General features: G+C 39.8%; 1 long non-coding RNA gene across 3 annotated transcripts in view; it reads right to left on the reverse strand.

The window, feature by feature from the left end:
• Nucleotides 1–1,369: 1,369 nt before the first annotated feature.
• The window catches only part of MAGEA3-DT (MAGEA3 divergent transcript), a 144,351-nt gene continuing 123,189 nt past the window's right edge, over nucleotides 1,370–22,531 (reverse strand). For 2 of the 3 annotated variants that reach the window (XR_001755976.2, XR_001755975.2), the window contains one exon: nucleotides 1,376–1,484. This is a non-coding gene — a long non-coding RNA (MAGEA3 divergent transcript). Of the gene's footprint in view, nucleotides 1,485–22,531 lie in introns of all 3 variants that reach the window. The other variant, XR_938525.3, reaches the window with a different exon arrangement.

Genomic DNA, 22,531 nt, shown 5'->3' on the forward strand with positions numbered 1-22,531 from the left:
GAGCAAGCCAAGCCTTACCCACCGACCCTGCCAACTCTAGCCCAGGACTTTTAGTTCCCTGCTAAAAGAGCTCTTACACAACTGAAACGAGACCAACCAACCCACTAGTTGGGAGGGCAGGGGGTGGCAAGAGAGATGTGATTATAAGTACCTTTTAAATCCCAGGAAATTCATCTTTTCAATTGCTTTTGTTGGTTTTTCAACCCGGAAGGCCTCAAATGCGTGCTAAAGCATCTTGTGAAAGTGCTAACGGGGGATGCAGCGCCTCAGAGTTAGATACTGCCAAATAAGGCACCCTCCTCACTGTGTGAAGCCCTCTGGGTTAGTGGCTCTGCAGGCAAGGCGGCAGCAAGCGCCCAGGGCTGGGCTGGGACTGTCTCCCAGCCTGCCTATATAATGGAAAACTGTATCAATAATAATAGGTAACATTATATACAATGTTATATGTAATCATAATGGCACCAAATATAATTCACGGTTAACATTTCGCATTCAATGCCTTCACCTGGTGGATTTCGAATCTGACCAAGAATTCCAATCACCTACAGAGCGTTTCCAACTCTTGAAGCCCAGGTTACACTCCATACTACTCAAATCGGATCTCTAAAGGCAGGAGCCAGTGGGCAGTGTTTGTTAAAGATGATTCCAGGTGATTCCAATGTACAGCAAAGTTTAGGAACTGCTACCTGAACCCAAAGGAGAGACATCAGCAACCCTGGACAGGCAAGCAGGAGCTAATTTTTTGAGTTGAGCCAACTCTCCACATAAAGTGCCATCCCCTAGCCTCTAGCCTGTTCCATCCCTGCTGGTACCGTGTTTGTTTTCTTTTAATTTTTTGAGGGCAGGGGATGCCAAGGTCCCCCAGGCATATAATGTCTTTCATGAATAATGTCTTAATGTCTTTAAGAAACTATGCTCTACAAGCCATACTACTAGCAGCCTGGGTCACTGCCAGCCTCCCATTACCCATGCTGGACCCAATCAATCTTAGCCACACCCTGTCCCTCATCTTTCCCCTCCCCTTGCAGTCCATGACCATCCTGTTCCCACCACAACAAAGCATTCCCTGAATCCCGGCTCCAACTGTCCACCTCCTAGCCATCAATGCAGGCACAACCCGAGTGCCATTCCCTCCATGAAATCTATGTTGATCTTCTCTCCAAGTTGTCTCTACAAATCTGAGGGTCAGGTCTATAGATTTAATGAAAAGAGCATCACACATAGATCAGTAGACCTGGATGTGAGATTTCACCACTGTAACCGAAATGCTAGTTGTTGAGTCAATTTTATTTTCCCCTTCTTCCTTAAAACTATCCTTGGACTGCCTAACACTGTGCTGATTTTACTGGGAAAAAACCCAAACCTCTACCTTGATCCACCAGGTGATGTTATTAACAGCCAAACCTAACTTGAACTGGAACAAGTAGATGCTGGTTGTGAGATCCTGGACAGGCCATTGTTCTTCTGAACCTTAGTTTCTTCAACTATAAAATAGGAAGAAAATGAGCTGTGAGGATTATTTAAAATCACCTAACAGTTAGTTGAACTTGTCTGTATCTTAATTAATTGAATAAAAACTTCTCACTTCGTAGACAATGGAACTGAGCACTTAAAGGGGAAGTGCTTTGCTCAAGGACACAAAGAAAATTAGTAGCAGGTGCAGGAATTAAAACCAGAGCCCCTTTGATTTGGAACTCAACTTAAATCAACAGAACTCAGGCTTAACTACTTGAAAATCATTGCAAGCAGTAATGAGAAAATATTGATTTAAAAATCATGTTAGTAGATGATCAAAAACAGAAGCTATTTAGTCCATTAGGAATTGCTTTTAAGCTGGGAGGGTGTGGGAAAGATCTTATAGAAAGATAACCAACAGTCAATTATGCCCACACTAGGTATGGAATAGTTTATTCTCCACTCATGTGAAATGCTATCTTTACAAACACCCACCCACACACACACACACACACAATCTCACGGATCTATTTGTCTATTCCTGTGCCAATAAGTCATTGTGCTGATTAATGGCAAGACGAGCCCCTCCTACCATGTTCCTTTAAAAAGTTTTATTCGCTTTTGTTGCTTTCTCTTTCTAATGAATTCTAGAATCAGCTTCTCAAATTCTATAAAACATCTCACTGTGATATTAATTGGGTTGCATTACATTTATAATTTCTGGAGAACTGACATCTTTACTATAATAATAGTGCTTATTGTGTACCAGGTATGATTCTATTTTCCCTGCCAGGTGCCAAGTAAATTATCTAAGCATTTGGGGTATATTTTCAAAAATATAGACATGTATTTATATTTTATTTTATTTCTTATGTCAAAAAATTAAAACAGAGATTCTTGCCCTCAAGAAGCTTATATTTTGGCAGAGGTAGTCAGTCAATAAATAAGAAATACGGCCTGGTGCGGTGGCTCACGTCTGTAATCCCAGCACTTTGGGAGGCCAAAGCGGGAGGATCACTTGAGTCCAGGAGTTTGAGGCCAGCCTGGGCAACATAGGGAGATCCCATCTCTACAAAAAGTTTAAAAATTAGCTGGACGTGGTGGCATATGCCTGTGGTCCCAGCTACTTGGGAGGCTGAGGTGGGAAGATCGCTTGAGCCCAGGAGATCAAGGTTGCAATGAGTGATGATCACACCACTGCACTCCAGCCTGGGTAATAGCAAGACCCTGCCTCAAAACAAACAAACAAAAATAAGTAAATGATATCATATGCTAGAGGGTAGTTAGTGCTATAGAAAATAAAATGAGGAGGGAAAGTAGGATACAGGGAATCAGGAGAGCAGGGTGCAGGTCACACAGCCTTATATAGGTTAATCATGGTAGAATAACTCATTGATTCCTCAGTGAACCTTAACTCTATGGCTACTGACACTTTACAGGGAAATAAAATTGAGGCACAAAGAGGTTTAAGTAATAGGCCAAAGTCACACTGCTAGGAAGTGACAGAGCCAGGATTTGAAGTTGAGCAGGCTGGGCTCCAGATTCCTGGAGCCAGAGTCAATATTCCTAACCCTACACTGCATGCCATCCAGGTTCCAGGTATGTTTCTCAATTTCCATCCATCTTTATATCCATCAGCAAAATATAACATTTTTCATTTAGTATGGCACATTTCTTGTTCAGTTTATTTTTATGTATTTATACTATTTCTTGCCATTGCAATGTGAAATATTTTCACCATGACATTTTCTAATCAGCTTTTGCTACTGTATGGAAAAGCTATTGATTTTTATGTGGTAATCAGCTATCTCTGAGTGCTTATAAGTTCCAGTAGTCTTCCGGTTGGTTTTCTTGGATTTTATAATTAGAAACACATAAAATAACAGTTTGCCTCTTCCTTTCCATTATGTTTTTATATTTCATTTTTGCTCCTGCAGTTCTAAGTATTTTCAAATTTTCACTGTGATTCCAGTTTTGACCCATTGGTTATTTTTAAGTGTGTTAATTTTCAAATATGTGGTAATTTTCTAGTTATCTTTTGTTATTGATTTCTAGCTTATTTCTACTATGGTCAGACATTCTAATCTATGCGATTTCAGCCCTTTGAAATTTGTTGAGCCTTGCTTTATGGTCCAATAATGGTTGATTTTGGTAAATATTCCATGTGCAATTGAAAAAAAATTCCGCCATTGTTAAATGCTGTGTTCTATAAATGTCAATGAAGTCAAATGTGTTAACCATGTTCACATGTTCTATATACTTACTGATTTTTTTAATCTGCTTATTCCTTTAATGGTTAATCTAGAGATTGTAACATGCATTGTTGTTTTTCAAATTAGCACAAGTGTATGCAGGGACCTTAAAACATTCCAATTCCATTTACTCCCTCCTGCCACTTGTGGTATTTGTTGTTTTTATAAAATGTTTTTTTTAATTGTTATTTTTGTGTAAACAGAAGCAATATTTATTCAGATTTTTCCATATAGTAATAATTACCTTTTCTATTGCTCTTTATTCTTTCTTGCATCTACTTGGGATAATTTTTCTGCTGCCTGAAAAGCAGTATTTAGGTATTTCTTTTAGTGCAGGTGTCCTGGTGATGAATTCCCTTAATTACTTTTTATTTGAAAATGTCTGTGTCTTCCCTTCATTTGTTAAAGATAACTTAATGAATAAAGAATTCCAGGTCGGTGGTTATTTTCTTTCACTATTTTAAAGATGTCATTTTATTTGCTTCTGGCTTCTACTGTTTCTTTGACAGGTCAATATCAATCTCACAGTTTCTCCTTTGAAAAGGATATGTCCTTTTTCTTCTGGCTGGTTTTAAGATTTTCTGTTTGTCTTTGGTTTTTCAGCAGTTTGACTATAATGTATACAAGAGAAACCATGCTTGAATTTTATAGGACTTTCATAATCTTTGTTTCAATATGTTTCATCAATTTTAGAAAATTCTCAGTCATTATCTACTTAAACATCACTTCTCTCTTCTTCTAGGATTCCAGTCTCACATATGTTAGACTCTGTCACACTATGTCATATTATCTTACGTTCATTTCTGTATTTTTATTCTTTTGTCCCTTTTGTGCTTCAGTCTAAAATTTTTTCTTCAAAATTATATTTCTATTCACTAATTTTCTTTTCAGTTTTATTTAATTTGTTCTTAAATCTATCCATTGAGCTCTTAATTTATTGCTTTCCATGAGTCTGTCAAAAGCTCAGCTCAGCTGCTTGGCCTCTCATCCACTACTTTTCAGAATCAATAATTTCTTAGTAGGGTAAAGCAGCATAAAATACCAGACTCCCCTCCCTGGGCTTCTGTCTGGGACCTTGGCCCTGAAAATCCTCCCTGCCTTGTTAGTTCCCTGATGACTCCAAAGAAGTGCTTTGAAATATTATTATTGAGCTTCATTCACTGTCTTCAGCAGGAGGATTGGTATAAAGCAACCTATTCCACCACTGCTAAAGGTGGGATTTCTTCATTATTTTGGGAAACAGCATAGTACTTACAAGGCTTTGAACTGTGTCTGGCATGACAGAATGTACTCAATAAGTTTATGTTATTATTGTACACAAATGAACCCATAGTTCCTTTTCTGTGTGTTATCTTGATTGTTTTTAGTATCATTATTTTGCCGGCTTTGTATAATGGGTTAGTTGACATTCCATATTTCTCTATCTTCTAAAACTGTTCATATAATATAGAGATTATCTGTTTCTTGAAGATTTGATATAACTCACCCATAAAATTACTTGAGCCTACTATTGTTTTTAGGGGCAAACTTTTGGTTACCTTTTTAATTTCTTCTATAATTATTAATTATCTCTGTATAGGAATTATTCTAAAACTATATCAGAAATTCAGACATTATTCTTATTCATATTTTCCATCTCTTAAAAAATTTACAAAATTACCAGTAGAGGTTAAATACAATATTTTAACAAAGTTTCTTCTGGGTCTGTGGTTATACCTCATTTATCATTTCTAATGTAATTTGTGTTTTTTCTGGCTTTTTAAGTCACATTTGACTAATTTTATTTAATTTTTAGGAAAAAAAAGCTTTTGGTTTTATGGATCAAGTCTACTGTTTTGTTGTTATTGTTGTGAGAAGGTACATGTCTCACTTTGGGGCTGAGGTTGTGTTAGCCCATATGCATCACTATAAAGGAATACCTGAGGGTGGGTAATTTGTAAAGGAAAGAGATTTATTTTGGCTCACAGTTCTGCAGGCTGTACAGGAAGCATGGTACCAGCATCTGCTTCTGATGAGGGCCTCAGGAAGCTTCCAGTCATGGTGGAAGGTGAAGGGGGAGCCAGCGTATCACATGGTAAGAGAGAAAGCAAGGGACGGGGAGGTGCCACACTCTTTCAAACAACCATCCCTCTCATGAACTCAGAGAAAAAACTCACTCATTACAGAGAGGAGAGCACCAAACCATTCATGAGGGATCCACCCCCATGACCCAACACCAGGCCCCACTTCCAACATTGGAGATTATATTTCAGCATGAGATTTCGAGGGGACAAAACATCCAAACCATATCAGATAATTTAAAGCTCTCTCTTGCCCTGTCTTGGCAACATATAAGTTTACATGTTTCAGGTGGATTAAGATAGATTAGAGAAATCCAGCTTCCATCAGATTTTGTGTAAGAGAGAAGTGTAAGAGAGAGAATTTGAGCAGCCACTGAGATTTCAGGGTTTATTTGTAATTGCAGCACAATCTAGCCAATTCTGATTAATGCAGGAATTAAAATTTTTGGTACCTTAAAATATGGTCAATTTTTAAAATTTCCCATGGATATTTTAGGTGGATTTGTATTCTTTGTTTGTACTTGTGTGATTCTTTTAGTTGTCTTGAGTTTGTTTAAATTTTAAAATATCTTTCCAGCATATTAAGAAATTTAGGATAGGAAAGGACACGCACCTAGCCTCCATTGTGATTTCAACTCTACCTTTTGTCTAGTTATATTCTCAAAGAGTTTGCATTTTGTAGCTGGAAATGGGTAATTTTAAAGAAAATATTTATTAAAAGTCATGTAGGCTTTGTAATTTTAGTAATAACTAAGAAAGCATAAGCTTTATAACCATAAGCTCTTTATTTAAAAGTCAGAAGTTGGTGGATTATAAACATGAAATTCCTTCCTCCATCCCCTCATCACTGCCTTCAACTATGTCCTTGTCTCCTAATGACATCTCAGGTAGAGCTCATAGCATTCAGGACGCTGGCAACAAGAAAACAACCCACTGCAGGCTAATTCAATAAATTGCAAATTTTAATTTCAAAGCATTTCTTCTCAATCAAGTGCCGGCCAGGCTTCTCTCAGTACAACTTGCAATGGAAAAGTGGCTTGCCCTCTTGACAACTACCCGCTTCCTACTCTGGTTGTCCATTTCTACTAGAGTGTGCAATGGTTTCTTAGAAAGTCCGTGAAGTATGTGGCCCTATTTAGCCCATGGAGTTATTCAGAAGCTATCACTGGCAGAATTGGTTCTCTAGCAATGGGAACAATAAGGCAGGAAAGGTTTTATTCACCACACTTTAATTATATAAATCCCAAAGTAGTCATTAAGGGTATAAAGAAGTTTCACTCTTTTGAAAGACCACAATAATCCAATGTTGGTTTAAAAAAAGGCAGGGGTTGGGGAATCTGGTATTCATACTACTGTTGATAGACATATTGAATTCCTTCATTTGCAGTTTAATAAATATTTATTATGTAGGCAGCAGTTCCTGATAGAGCTTAAGATTCTGGAGAACAGAAATGTCAATACATACAAGGTCCCTGCCTTTGAGAACCTTACATTCTAGCTGGGGAAAGACATACCAGAAACAAGTAAATCAATAAGATATTTTTAATTTGTGGTAAGTGATATGAAAGAAATAAAACTGGGGAATGTGATAGAAAGTTAAGGGGAGCATTAGAGGCACTGTGGCATTGTCAGGAACACTACTCTGAGAAAGGATATTTGAGCTAAGACCTGAAGCATAACAAGGAGCCAGGCATTCAAAGGACCTGGGAAAAAGCCTCAAGCAGAGAACAAAAATTATAATGTAATATTGAGATAGCAATGCACTTTAAACTAAAAAAAAACAAAGGAGGCCCAACTGGGTTTCAGTTCCCTGAGGGAGATAGTTGACAAGTTAGGGGGCAGCTAGATCATGTAGAGCCTTATAGTTATGGGGATAATTCTGAATTTTTTTCCAAATGCTACAGGAAGTCTTTAAAGTATTTCAGTAGGGGATCAAAATGGACATGGACTGGTTTTCAGTTTTTGAAGGAAAATAGAATGTGAGGAAGCAAGGTAGGAGGCAGGGAGCTCAGCACAGAAGCTGTGGCCATGGTTCAAGCAACACAGTATGGTGGCTGGGACCAGGGTGGTGGCATTGGCAATGTGGAGAAGAGGTAGAACTAATATGACACACTGATATACTGGCCATGGAGGATGAGAAATGACAGGAATCAAGGATGATTCCAAAGTTTTGAGTTTAAACAGCTGGGTTGATGGTGGTACCATTTACTGAAGTGTAAGACTGCAGAGGATTGAGATGGTGGTAGAGGAATCAGTTCGGTTTTCGATATAGTAAGTTTGAGAAGCCTACAAGATATTTAAGTGGAAACTCAGGTAGGCAGTTTGAATAGAGTTATAAATTTTGTAGCCATATACAAAAGTGATATTTAAATCTGTGGCAATAGACGAAATCATATAAGATTAAAGTGTAGTAAGAGAGTTCAGAATCTAAGGCCTGAACTATGGGGCAGTCCAACATGACTGTAACATATTCTATTCGAATTTTTGTGTAGTAGCTTACAGAAAAAAAGATGATATCTGTAAAGAAGGAAACTTGGGGAATTAACTCAGTATTAGGCTGTGATATATTCATATAATGAGAGAATTATTTTAATTATCCACCCCATTACATGTGGCCACCACAGAATGCTATAACTGTCACTCCAACAGTTAGAATGCTAAATACAAGGCAAAGCCTTTTTACATGCTGCAGAGAGGTAAGAGAAAGGGTTAAATTTTTTTTTTTATTAAAGCCCAAAGCAGAACAAATAAAAGATTGGAATTTGTAACAAAGATGAGTAAGATACCTAATTGTACCCAGGTGTTTGTAGTTCCCTAAATTTTGCTTTAAATTATATCCTATTTATATTTAATGTTTATGTTAATACTAGTTACTGTTTATGCATAGCTGATTTAGTAAAGTGTTCACTCTCTATGGAAAAAAATGTAAATTAGTGGAAAATCATGATAATACTCTTTAATTCTGTTTATCGTGCAGAGCTGTTCATGATGTGATACTACAACCAAAACACACCTTCCACTTAGCAGCTTATTTAAATTGCAAGAAAACAGGGGTGAAATGAACAGTCTCTGGAATGTCAGTCTTGCATGGCAAAGGGTATACAGAGATTGCAAATACCTCTTAAGAGCTGGAAACCATTATTCTCAGAAAACTAACACAGGAACAGAAAACCAAACACCGCATGTTCTCACTCATAAGTGTGAGTTGAGCAATGAGAACACATGGACACAGGGAGGGGAACATCACACACGGGGGCCTGTAGCGGGATGGGGGGCTAGGGGAGGGATAGCATTAGGATAAATACCTAATGTAGATGACGGGTTGATGGGTGCAGCAAACCACCATGGCACATGTATACCTATGTAACAAACCTGCACGTTCTGCACACGTATCCCAGAACTTAAAGTGTAATAATAATAAAAAAAAAGAATAGCTACTAAAGGCTCCCCAACATGGAGAAGCACAGCCAAACTAGCAAGCATTAAAACAATTAGTCTCTTGGGGTAGAATCACTTTGCAAGCAACATGGATGTTTTTTACATATTTGCATAAGTAAATTATTGATTAGAAACAAACTTAACAGTCCAGCGCGGTGGCTAATGCTTGTAATCCCAGCACTTTGGGAGGCCAAGGTGGACAGAACTCTTGAGCCCAGGAGTTGGAGACCAGCCTGATCAACACGACAAAACCCCATCTTTACAAAAAATACCAAAATTAGCTGGGTGTAGTGGTGCTCACCTGTAGTCCTAGCTACTCAGGAGGCTGAGGAGGGAGGATCACTTGAGCCTGGGATTCAGAAGTTGCAGTGAGACGAGATCACCCCACTGCACTCCAGCCTGGGTGACAGGGCAAGACCCTGTGATATGGTTTGGCTCTGTGTCCCCACCTAAATCTCATTTTGTAGCTCCCATAATCCCCACGTGTTGTATGAGGGACCTGGGGGGAGATGATTGAACCATGCGGGTGGGTCTTTCCTATGCTGTTCTCGTGATAGTGAATGGGTCTCACGAGATCTGATGCTTTTAAAAACGGGAGTTTCTGTGCACAAGCCCTCTTTTTGCCTGCTGCCATTCACCTAAGATGTGACTTGCTCCGCCTTGACTTCCGCCATGATTGCGAGGCCTCCCCAGCCAGGTGCAACTGTAAGTTCATTAAACCTCTTTCTTTTGTAAATTGCCCAGTCTCAGGTATGTCTTTATCAGCAGCGTGAAAATGGACTAATACACCCTGTCAAAGAAAAAAAAAAAAAAACACCTTGTCTTACTTCTCCTATAAGTAAATTCCAAGCCAAGGAATGACAGGAATGGATGAATTAAATTAGGCATATCAATGTATTTCTTTAAGTGTTGAGTCCATCGCAATCCCAAATATCTATTTTTTCTGAGATTAGAAAAAAACATTTCTCTTATAAAAACTGTTGATAGGAGATTAGTGGTTAAATTGGAGGTGGATATAGTAAAAAACAAAAGAAAGTTCTTTAATATTTTTTTAATGTTTCAAAGAAGTAATTCTAGTACTAGTCACATTCTCATGGACTGGAAGGGTGGTTCAGACCATTTTCCATTTTTGTCATGGCTACTAGGAAACTCAAAACCAAATTGGAATTTAAATCACAACAATGATGTCAATCCCTTTGGTATCATTGCATATTTGAAATATTAGAAGCATGTTTCTTCTTCCATTACTTGACCCTCATTTTCTATTTTTGTTGTTGAGTAGGGAGTGGCATTTCAGAGAGCTAAAATGCCCACCTTATCTAGTCTGGAAACCTCAAGTGTTTAATTTTCTTCTCTCCATATATAAGTTTCCATGACAAAAGCTATTGGAGGTAGTGTGCTGGTCCCAGGTTACTCTGCACAGTGTGAAAGAAATGGCCAACAAGTATATTTAAAAATGCTCAATATCACTAATTATCAGGGAAATGCAAATCAAAACCACAATGAGATATCACCTCATATCTGTTAGAATGGCTACTGTATAAAAAAGATTAAAAATAAAAAAGACAGGCAAGGATACAGAGAAAGGGTAACACTTATGCACTGATTGTGGGGATATAAACTAGTACAGCCATTACAGAGAACAATATGGAGGTTCCTCAAAAAACAATGAATAGAACTACCATATGATCCAGCAATCCCATAACTAGGTATTTATCTAAAGGAAAGGAAATCAGTGTATCAAAGAGATATTGGCACCCCTGTGTTTACTGCGGTACCATTCACAATAGCCAAGATATGGAAGCAATTTAAGTGCCTTTCAAAGGATGAACTGATAAAGAAAACGTGATATATATATATATATACACACACACACACACACATATACACACAATGGAATACTATTCAGCCATAAAAAAGAATGAAATCCTGTTATTCATGGCAACATAGATGAGCCTGGAGGATGTTATGTTAAGTGAAATAAGCGAGGCACAGAAAGACAAATATAGCATGAGCTCACTCATATGTGCAATCTTACAAAGTTGATCTTACAGAAATAGAAATTGGAACAGAGGTTACTAGAGGCTGAGAAGAGTAGAGGGAAAGGGAGAGAATAAGGAGGGATTTGTTAAATGATACAAAATTTCAGCTAGATAGGAGGAATGAGTCTAGTATTCTATAGCATTGTTGTGTTATTATAGTTAGCAATGATATATCATATATTTTCAAAGAGCTAGAAGACAGGATATTGAATGCTCCCAATACAAAGAAATAATAAATGTTTGAGATGATGGATATGCTGATTACTCTGATCTGATCACTATACATTGTATGTATTAAAACATCGCTATGTACCCCATAAATATGTACAATTATTATGTGTCAATTAAAAATCAATTTTTAAAACATATAGAAAAAAAAGAAAGGCATGCTTACTTTTGGGGGGATTTCTCTATCAATGATGCACATGGCCACAAGTTGTAACCTAAGAGCTTGGGGTTAGTAATACTACGCTGTAGATCCAATATGGTTTACTGAAACCTAAAGTGAAGAACTTAGCAGAATCATTTCATTTACCTGAGTTTTTGAACAGATAACTTAAGGTTTTACTATTAAACAATGGTTGGTGTGAAGGTTTTTGTTACTGATTGAGAGCAGACACCTGTATGTTTTGAAAACCAGTCAAGAGGTTGGTAGAGGTGATGTTCTATTATGAAACTTCATTTTGAGAACCATGGTCGAGGTTGAAGTTTTACTCTTGGCCTGACTCTCTGCATTGCTGATCTCAACACTCACCTGAACCCCACCTCTTGCATTCCCCATCCCCTACATTCTTGCGCATGCACACACACACACACACACACACACACACACACACACACACACACACATACACACACACAAAACACATAACCCTATACTTCTTCACCTAGGGTTAAAGTTGGGAAATTTACATGGTTTTCTGGCACCAGCTCACACATCTATTTTCTGCCTTAGATTCTATCCAAATCAGGAGTGAAAGAAATTATGAGGAAGGCAGAAAGGGAATGGAGAAGCTAGTAGCTAAGGGCATGAAAAACAATAGAAGTAGTGGAAAGAGGAAACACAGAAAATGCCTCCGAAAGGGGATGGCGATGTGACTTAACAAAGAGAACACTGGATAAGGGCCTAGAGACCTGAAATTGAGTTTTAGCTTTGTCACGGTCCCCATTGTGACTTTGGACAAAGCTCTACCATTCTTTGGTGCTCAGTTTGCTTATTTGTAAAATGGGAATTATTTGTAAAATGGGAATTGTTTTTAATCCCTAATTTTTACTTTATGGCAGTGTTGTAAAATCCAACAAGATGACATGTGTGAAAATATTTTGCAAACCATCAAGAGCAAAACCTATCTAAGGCATTAGCGATGGGAGACTTAAATAGGAGCCACCATAATCAGAACAGAAATGGCAGTTATTTTTATCTTTTCCTTACATGTTCTTCATAACCCACTGTTATCATTTAGAAAATTCCTGTGATGTAGTCATCTAGCAGCCTCTGATTTTCTTTATCCTTTTCTCAGTTTCTACTTCAAGCTGATCTTTGTAGGCAAACATGCCCTGAGTACCTCTTCAGAAGGCAAAAACAAGAGAGATCTGATTACTAGATTACTTTGTGTTATGTTGCATAAGGACATATATTGGTAATAATCCCTTAATTGCATACAGTATATCCCTGGACACACATATATGATTAAATATATAAATGCAAATACATACATGCCCACGCTTGCCCATGCACACACCCACACACCCCACAGTGAATTCCTCACCCTCCTTTTTACACTTAGCATATCACACAATAAAGAGGTGACATGGTCCTTGGGAAAGAGAGCCTTGCCATCTAGGTCACGTTGTTAACTTGCTCACCCAGAGCTTATTTTACCCAATGAGATGCTCCACCGATTTCACATGTTCTGTTTCTATTTTAACATGAATTGAGGCAGAACTAAATCATCTTAAAGCATCTGTCGATAGGCAGTTATCCAGCCACTTAGTTTCATGTTCTTCAGAACCCAGTGTTATCATTTGGAATCATTTTGTGATCCATTTATATAACAGTCTCTGAGTTTTCCTTATCTTTCTTCCACTTTCTCCTTCAAACTGATCTTTGTAGGCAAACAGGCCCTGATGATCACTGATTTCATTGCGAACCAAAGCAAAGACAGGAGCCTGATTGTTCGATTACTTTGTGCCACATTTTATAAGGAAAAACTGATGTAAGAACCCCTTGGATTTATACAAAGTACTTTGAAAATACCCCAAGGCTAGTTATGTGATCATGGGTCTTACTTAATTTCCCTTTGTTTCATCTGTAAACTGGTGATAATATTCATGATGTAGTCAGTCAATTTGGGGTATGGTCATTCGAGCAATTAGAGATCAACTTAATCATGTTCTTATTAGCCCCCTTCTGTCTATCTCACCCATGAAGATATCATGAAGGGCTTTGTCAGATGCTGTGCCGAAATCCAGATACACTGTGTTCAACGTTTCCCTGGTCTACAAGGATAGTAAAGAACCCAATCAAAAATTTAAAGGAAAGAAAGAGAGGATGAAAATTAAATTGTTTGGAGTGATCTGTACTCCATAACCCCATGCTATCTCCTGCTGATGGTCACCTCACTCCACGAGTGCCCACAAAACTTGTATTTCCATTTGGACAGTTTGCCAGTAATGGACTTCAAACTCGCTGGTGGGTACTTTCTAAAAATGACTCTTGTCTCATATTTTTTTCTTTTTTTTATTATACTTTAAGTTTTAGGGTACATGTGCACAACCTGCAGCTTTGTTACATATGTATACATCACACACCGGGGCCTCTTGTCTTATTTTTAAAATAAAACAACTTTTTCCCAGTTGTCACTTCTCCCGCCTCAAAACAGTTCCTTGCAAATCCTAAAGAGGAGTTCACACCTTAAAAGAGAGACTAATGTGGAGGAAGTAACCTATGGATGCAAATCCCTATTCACCCCTTACCTGCCATCAGAGCACCTTCAGTTCTTCCCACGGAGTCTTGTGGCCCTTGACGGTCAGTGGCAACACCACTGGGGAGGTCCTGAGGAGACCCTGAAGTCACTTAGAGGGCATGTGGCTGGTTACACACTTTTCATTTTAATTTCAACCAGCATTCAGAGAGGACCTACTTTATGCCAAGGTCCTGTGGACAGTGTAACTTCTCTCAGAGCTTACTGTCTTGTATGAAAGACAGATATGTGAGCAAATAAATATAACCCAGTTGTTAGTGAATCTAAAGAACTAAAAAAAGAACTATGGTCTCAGCTCACTCAATCTTTTTATATTTATGGTTGCTTTTATTCTAGCTGAGGATGGGGCTAGGTAGGCCTGGTTCACTGCAGGACAAAACAGGCTGGATGAGAAGACCTGAAAAAGTACTGGATTAATGGAACAGGACAGGCACATAGAATACAGGCTCTTTTATAGGTACTGGGGGACAATTCAATCTGGAAGGCAAAGGTGCTGTATAGTGATTGCTACAGCTTAGAGAAGAGGAATGACAAGGGTCCAAGCATCTCAACAGGTGGCCCAAGTATAATAATGAAAAACGTAGGAGTGGGCAATGCTTATATTCCAAGAAAGCGAGGATCAGCATCAGGGAATTTCACTAGCAGGTACCAAGCCCTAGCTTCCAGGCTTGAGTTTAAGGGAATTTCTCCGTTTAGCAATCACCCTGCCTACAATACATTCTGTGATAATAAACCTGACAATTATACCAATATAGTCTGTCTTACCTCACCTCTGAAGAGCTAGTGCTCCCCATGGGATTATAGGTCTCAACTCCAGAATGACCTGCAGATACAAGTTAGGATACCTCCTAAGCATGTAGCAAAAAATGTGATGGCTGCCACATGACCCTAAAGGTTGACTCCAATGCCTGTAGCCATTATTCCTGAAATCCGCCCCAAGCTGAAGCCCGTGTGGATTTGTCCATTGAGAGCTTCAAAACTGAGTGCAACAGCAAAAGAAATTATCATCAGAGTGAACAGGCAACCTACAGAATGGGAGAAAATTTTTGCAGTCTATCTATCTGACAAAGGGCTAATATCCAGAATCTACAAGGAACTTGAATTTACAAGAAAAAAAAAACAACCCTATTAAAATGTGGGCAAATGACATGAACAGATGCTTCTCAAAAGAAGACATTTATGCAGCCAACAAACATATGAAAAACAAAAGCTCAACATCACTAATCATTAGAGAAATGCAAATCAAAACCACAATGAGATATCATCTCACACCTATCAGAATGGCAATTATTAATAAGTCAGGAAACAACAGGTGCTGATGAGGCTGTGGAGAAATAGGAACACTTTTATACTGTCGGTGGGAGTGTAAATTAGTTCAATCATTGTGGAAGACAGTGTGGTGATTCCTCAAAGACCTAGAACCAGAAATACCATTTGACCCAGCAACCCCATGACTGGATATATACCCAAAGGAATATAAATCATTCTATTATAAAGATACATGCACGCTAATGTTCACTGCAGCACTATTCACAATAGCAAAGGCATGGAATCACCCCAAATGCACATCAGTGACAGACTGGATAAAGAAAATGTGGTACATATATACCATGGAATACTATGCAGTCACAAGAAGGAACAAGATCGTGTCCTTTGCAGAGACATAGATGGAGCTGGAAGTCATTATCGTCAGCAAACTAACACAGGAACAGAAAACCAAACACTGCATGTTCTCACTTACAAGTGGGAGCTGAACGATGAGAACACATGGACACAGGGAGGGGAACAACACACACTAGAGCCTGTTGGTGGGAGGGGAGAGCATCAGGATAAATACCTAATGAATGCTGGGCTTAATACTTAGGTGATGGGTTGATAGGTGCAGCAAACCACCATGGCACACGTTTACCTATGTAACAAACCTGCACGTCCTGCACATGTATTCCAGAACTTGAAATAATTTAAAAACCTGAGTGCGAGAGCCCAAACCACTGGAGTTATGGACAAGAAGGAAGAGGGTAAGAGTTACATAGATTACTGGTTTCCATTTGGAGGGGATGGGCAGGGAACAAGGAGAGGATAAGAAAGAGGAGAATGTGTATGTTGAATCAATTTTCCTAAGTTCTTCTTTCTCATCTATACATATCCAGTTGAGAATCAGTGGCATAAGTTGAATAATTTTATTTAATACCAACATCTTTATCTGAGGATATTGGGGTGTTTGGTGTTTGGAGAAGGGACTGGAAAGATCACCTTACCTGGACTGACATTCAGTGGAGGGAAATCCAGTCACTTTTCAAAAAAAAATTAAAACCCTGAGCCTTACATAAAGTATATAAATATTCCCATTTAACGAGAATAGGCTTATGAGCAAAGTGCTATTGAGGCTTCAGCACCATGACTCAGAATTTCTTTCAGCTAGAAATTAAAGTCCCAATTGGAGATAGATCCATAGAAACACTGACACACTACCACTCACTCTCAAGCCCCCTGAAAGCCCCCTGACAAACCCTGAGGCTGAAAATGTCTAAGGACATTTTCTGAAAGATTTAAAAGGGGCTTATAAATGTCATGAAGTTACTCTAAAGCCAGATCTATTGGAAGGAGAGGTCCAGAATCACTTCCTGGGGCTGGTCTCTGGCATGAATGCATTGGCCTGGGAGTGAACCTCTATGATACTGGCAGTGGGGCACTGCCAGGCCTGATGGATCTTCTGAGTGTGCATGCTGACCTCCAGTCAGGAACCTGGGTACTAGCTTGTTACTTTCTCCTGAACCCAGCTAAGAGGTTTATTGTATTTTATACAGCAATCCTGAGTGTTTTGTAGCAACAGAGCTTCTATGGAATGTTTAGTTGACCATATGTCCAGAGACATAAGTTCAACTCTTAAAAATGAGAAGGAGAAAGTACCCCTGTGTTGTTATAAAAGTGACACTAAACATTAAGCATGTTTTGGTAGATATGGAGATGCGCCACTCAGAACCCCTTTGAAGAAAGGACCTGCTGCCCAAATGCAAGGTGACATGCAGCCTTAGCTTACCTATAACCACTTCCGGGATCTTTAATATGATGCATGTGCCAATTTGGGTTCTTTGGGAAACAGGCAGTGGGATAGAATTAGGAGCATAAAAAAAAGTTTGTGAAGTAGTATCTGTGAAAACAAAAGGGAGGAAGGAGGACTGGGGAAATATAGCAGTCTGATCACAATATAGACCTGACAAAAGTCTCTGAATAATCTTGGAAGGATGTAGATGGAAACAGCAGCAGCAACCCTAAGGAAAACTCAGATCATTTGATTTCACGGTTAGTACCTGCCAGGTTGTTGGGGTCTCCTTGATGATCTGACCTAAGCTTACAAATGAACACTTGCATCACCAGCCCTCAAGCTTGCACAATGTAAAGGAGTGAGTTCCTAAGGAATGTATGGACCCCTATGCCCACAGACAACTTTCATTCATCTCTGAAATTCTGCATATTACTGACAATAAATGATGATGAAGATAACTGACACTTAAATGTCATTATATTTTTTCTTCAGCAATATTTGATGATTAGAAAAGTTACTAATTGATTGAAACACTACAGGGATGATGTGCCTTTGTAAAGGACAAGCAAAAGAAAAATAACAGTAGATTCCATGTGATTGCAGGGGGTATCTAAGATATTTTTACCTTCCTTGTTTTTCACTTTGATTTCTGGAGAATAACAATCAAACAAATGCTATAACCATGTTCAAAATACTCGTGTTGTCTATTGAGAACCATTATTGTCAGATCCTGAGGAATGGAAATTAGTATTTTGTCTATTTTGTCTATTGAGATCCATTATGGAAACTGACGCTTCTGCATTCCCAAACAAAAGCAGAGAAAGGTACAATAGAACAAAGGAGAGACAGAAAGAAAAACAGAGAGATGGAGATTGACAGAGTCAGAGAGGCAGAGCCTGATGTGGGCTCAGGAGGGAAGTTCAACCTGAGATTTGTCCTCACCCAACCAGGTATACGTATCGTGTATAGAAAATGAAACACACTTTGAAAACAAAAAAATATGGTGGAAATAGGAATGGGGTGGGGGAGTACAGGAGATAAGCATGTTTTTGACTTTTTTCTTTAAATCTATAGCATGAAACACAGTACTGAAAGAAGGGCAAGGCTCAATGCATAGGTAGTGGGTGTTATCTACCATAAATTTCCCCACCATCTTTCCTCCCAGCATTCTGTTTGTCTAGAGTCTGCTCTCACTCTCATCCTTATTACCTACAATTCAATTCACACAAATGACTGGACACTCTCTGGGTTCCCGCCTTTGCTTAGATAAAGAACCTATTCCCTCCCAAGGCCACCATCTCATCCAAAACTCTCACTGGACACGTAGGGAAAGAAAGCCTCAAAGACTAGATGAGACAGACTTGTCTAAGGTCACACAAACACCACCAAGTAGATGATCTAGGAACACAGTTCAGGTCCCAGTGGAGTTGGAACTTCAGGTAGACATGGAGATTCCTCCGTGTGCACAAACTTACTTGTATGCGAGGCTGGGAAGTGTAGCTAAACTGTGAACCCAAAAAGGAGAAAATAAGTAGGTATTTGCAAAACGGTTCTATATACCCCTCTGTCTGTCCCCAAATGTTCTTAAAGGCATGTGGTAGTCACACCATTTGTTAGACTGAAGCAGCAAGGATATGAGTACATCTTACACTGGGAATGCTAATTTCCATTCCTCAGGATCTGACAATCCCAAAGCAGTTAGAAGCTGGTATGCCTGCCAGGCACAGTGGCTCACACCTGTAATCCCAGCACTTTGGGAGGCCGAGGCAGGCGGATCACAAGATCAGGAGATCGAGACCATCCTGGCTAACACGGTGAAACCCCGTCTCTACTAAAAACACAAAAAATTAGCCGGGCGTGGTGGCGGGCGCCTGTAGTCCCACCTATTTGGGAGGCTGAGGCAGGAGAATGGCGTGAACCCAGGAAGTGGAGCTTGCAGTGAGCCGAGATTGTGCCACTGCACTCCAGCCTGGGCAACAGAGAGAGACTCCGTCTCAAAAAAAAAAAAAAAAAAAAAGGCTGGTATGCCTTCTCCATAATCTCTCTTTCTGTCTCTGTCTCTGTCTCTTTCTCTCTCTCTTTCTGTGTGTGTGTATGTGTGTGTGTGTGTGTGTGTGTGTGTGTCTGTGCTTATCAACCAGTCAGATTAAGAGATCCAGTGGAAAATTCTCAAAGGCCCTAGTTACTGTGGAACCTGGATTTCTGAGTCATCACTTAGAAAACTACCAAGAGAGCCACCAGGCTCTCATCAGACATCACTATATGAAAAAAAAATACTTGTACTGTGTTAACCCACTGACATTGGGAATTGTGTATACAGAAGCTAGCATTAATTGCCTTGACTAATACAGAACCCCAACTTCTCTGAGAAACACCCAAATTGAACTTGTCAAAAGATTGAATGGGATCTTACCCATCTAATAGTGTGTGAGTTTGCCAGGACTGCTGTAACAAAGTACCACAGCCGGGTGGCTTAAACAGCAGAAATGTATTGTCTCCTAGTTCTAGAGGCCAGAAGTACAAGATCAAGGAGTCTGCAGGGTTTATTCTGTCTGAGGTCTCTGAGGGAAGGATCTGTTCCAGGCCACTCTTCGACTGGTAGATGCATTACCCCAATCTCTGCTTTTGTCTTCACATCATGTTCTCCGTGTGTGTGTGTGTGTGTGTGTGTGTGTGTGTGTGTGTATGTGTGTGTGTGTGTCTAAATCTCCCCTTCTTATAAGGATACCCGTCATATTGGATTGGTGACCCACCCTACTGTAGTATGATCTTATCCTAACATAACTCATTACACCTGCAACAACTCTATTTTCAAATAAGGTCACATGCTGGGGTCCTGGGAGTTAGGACTTTTGAACATATGAATTTGGCAAAGGGACACAATTCAACCCATTAACAGGTAGTGCCATTGGCAAGGAGCTAGTTTTGTCAGCAGTTGAAAGCCCAAATGCTATTCTTCTAATGGAGAGAGTGCTGGGGAGCCCCACGTTTGGTATAGCCAGCTTCATACAGTTACATCCTTGTCACTGACCTAAAGGAATTTGTAATCATTTCTGTGTACCAGATGGTGTCCCTCAATCACCATTACACTGATGACAAGCACAGTCTCTGACTGAGCTAGATGTTGTGTCTGAAATATCTATTTAGAAGTTGTTATGGACTGAGTTGTGTCCCTCCAAAATTCCTATATTGAAGTCCTAACCCCTGTACTTCAATATGTGACTATATTTGAAGATAGGGTCTTTACAGAGATGATCAAGTTACAGTAAGGTCATTAGGGTAGGCATTAATGTAATCTGAGTAATGTCCTTATAAGAAGAGGAGATTACGACACAGACATACACAGAGAGGAGATAAAGACACAGGGAGGAGAGGATGGCCATCTCCAAGGCAAAGAGAGAGGCCTCAGGAGAAACCAACCCTGCCCACACCTTGATCTCAGATTTCTAACTTCCAGAACTTCGAGAGAATGCATTTCAGTTGTTTAAGCTATCCTGTCTGTAGCACTTTGTTACGGCAGCCTGAGCAAACCCATAGGGAGGTCCTCAAGGAGGAACAGTCCTAAACAAGAACAAGAGCGTCATTAAAATCCCTAAAGAGGCTGGGAACAGCCTTCAGATCCACCTCAATGAAGGCAGGCACTTGCATGGAGATGGAACTCTTTTTTCTTTTCTTTTTTTTTTTTTTTTTTTTGGTGCTGCCACTGCAGCATGTTCTCCCTCCTCTACCCTGCCAGCATTACAATCAATTTGTTACAGGCTTTTCCCATGACTTACATTTCACTAGGTCTGCAGATTCAAACAATGAGCTCTGTGTATTAGATTTCATAGGAAAATTGTGAGTGCACAAACCTATGTGACCAATAGATGCCGTATCAGACTGGGCACCAGAGCTCCTGCTGGGAGTCTTCTCCAAGTAGTGGCAAGAACTGCAACTCAAGAATAAGGGCAACTAAATTAGCATCCCAGAGTTAGAAGGTCCTTTTGTTTAAACCAGTAGTTTTTAGCCCATGATCTTTTACAAGCCCTGCATGCAAACTGGCTCCTGGGTTCCTCAGTCACTGAATGTCAAATGCGGTGAGATGCTGAGGTGGTGCTGCTAAAGTTAGAATGCTCAAAGTTGCCAATTAATTCTGTGCAAAAAGGTATTTACTTCATCATTCTCCACCTTAGGCCCTGCCTGATGTTCTCGAGTTTCTGTCAGTCTGGGGCCTCCTTAGAAGTAACTGCTGGCCTCAGGCTTGGAAACAAAGCAATCACTTAGAGCAAAGTTACTAGCCTATTTGTTGGACAGCAACTGGCTATATTTATCCTCTATTTTTCCCCCACCCCCTCTCACCCCGTATTAGTCTCCAATTGCTGTGTAACAAATTTCCACAAGTGAAGCAGCTATAAATAGCACACATTTATTTTCTCAGTTTCCGTGGGTTAGGAGTCTGGGTACAGCTCAGCTGGGTCCTCTGATTGGGGTCTCACAAGGCTGCAATGATGGTGTCAGTCAGGCTGCATTCTCAACTGAAGCTTAATATCCTCTTCCAAGCCCCCATAGTTGCTGGCAGGATTCGTTTCCTTGTGTGGCATGACTGAGGGCCCTGGCTTTTGCTGGCTCTTAACTGTAAGCTTCCCTCAAGACCTAGAGGCTTAGGCAGCTCACAACATGGCTGTTTGCTTCTTCAAGGGCAGCAGGTCTCTCCACTCTGCAAGGAAGGAACCCCAAATATTGTAACATAATCATAGAAATGATATCCCATCATCTTTGCCATACTCCATTGTTGAGAAGCAAGTCTTGAGTACTGTCCACACTCTAGGGGAAGGGGTTATACAAAAGCATGACTCATTGCAAGTCACCTTTGAGTGTGTCTACCAGCCCCTCCTATCTCCCACTGGCTCACCTTCTACAAGGTTAGGGTTAGTCCTAGATGATAGCAAGCATAGCAGCTGCTGACAGCTTCTATTCATAATACCACCAATGGAGTTTGGGGGGAGGGGCACTCAGCATGCCCCTTGTTATCGTGTTCTCCTTTCAATGCACCTGTAATACCAGGTGCATTTCTTCATGGTCATCACTATCTTCCCAGTTAAGTCACATATGGATTATCACCTGTTTGTGCATTCAAAGCTCAGGACCAATCCCACAATATCACATGGACCAGCAGCATCAGCATCCTATGAAAACTTGTTAGAAGTGCAAATTATCTGGCTCTACACCAGACTTACTGAGTCAGAAACTCCAGGGTGGAGCCCAGCAGTCTGTG

This window comes from Homo sapiens, chromosome X (assembly GCF_000001405.40).
Source record: "Homo sapiens chromosome X, GRCh38.p14 Primary Assembly".
NCBI lineage: Eukaryota > Metazoa > Chordata > Mammalia > Primates > Hominidae > Homo > Homo sapiens.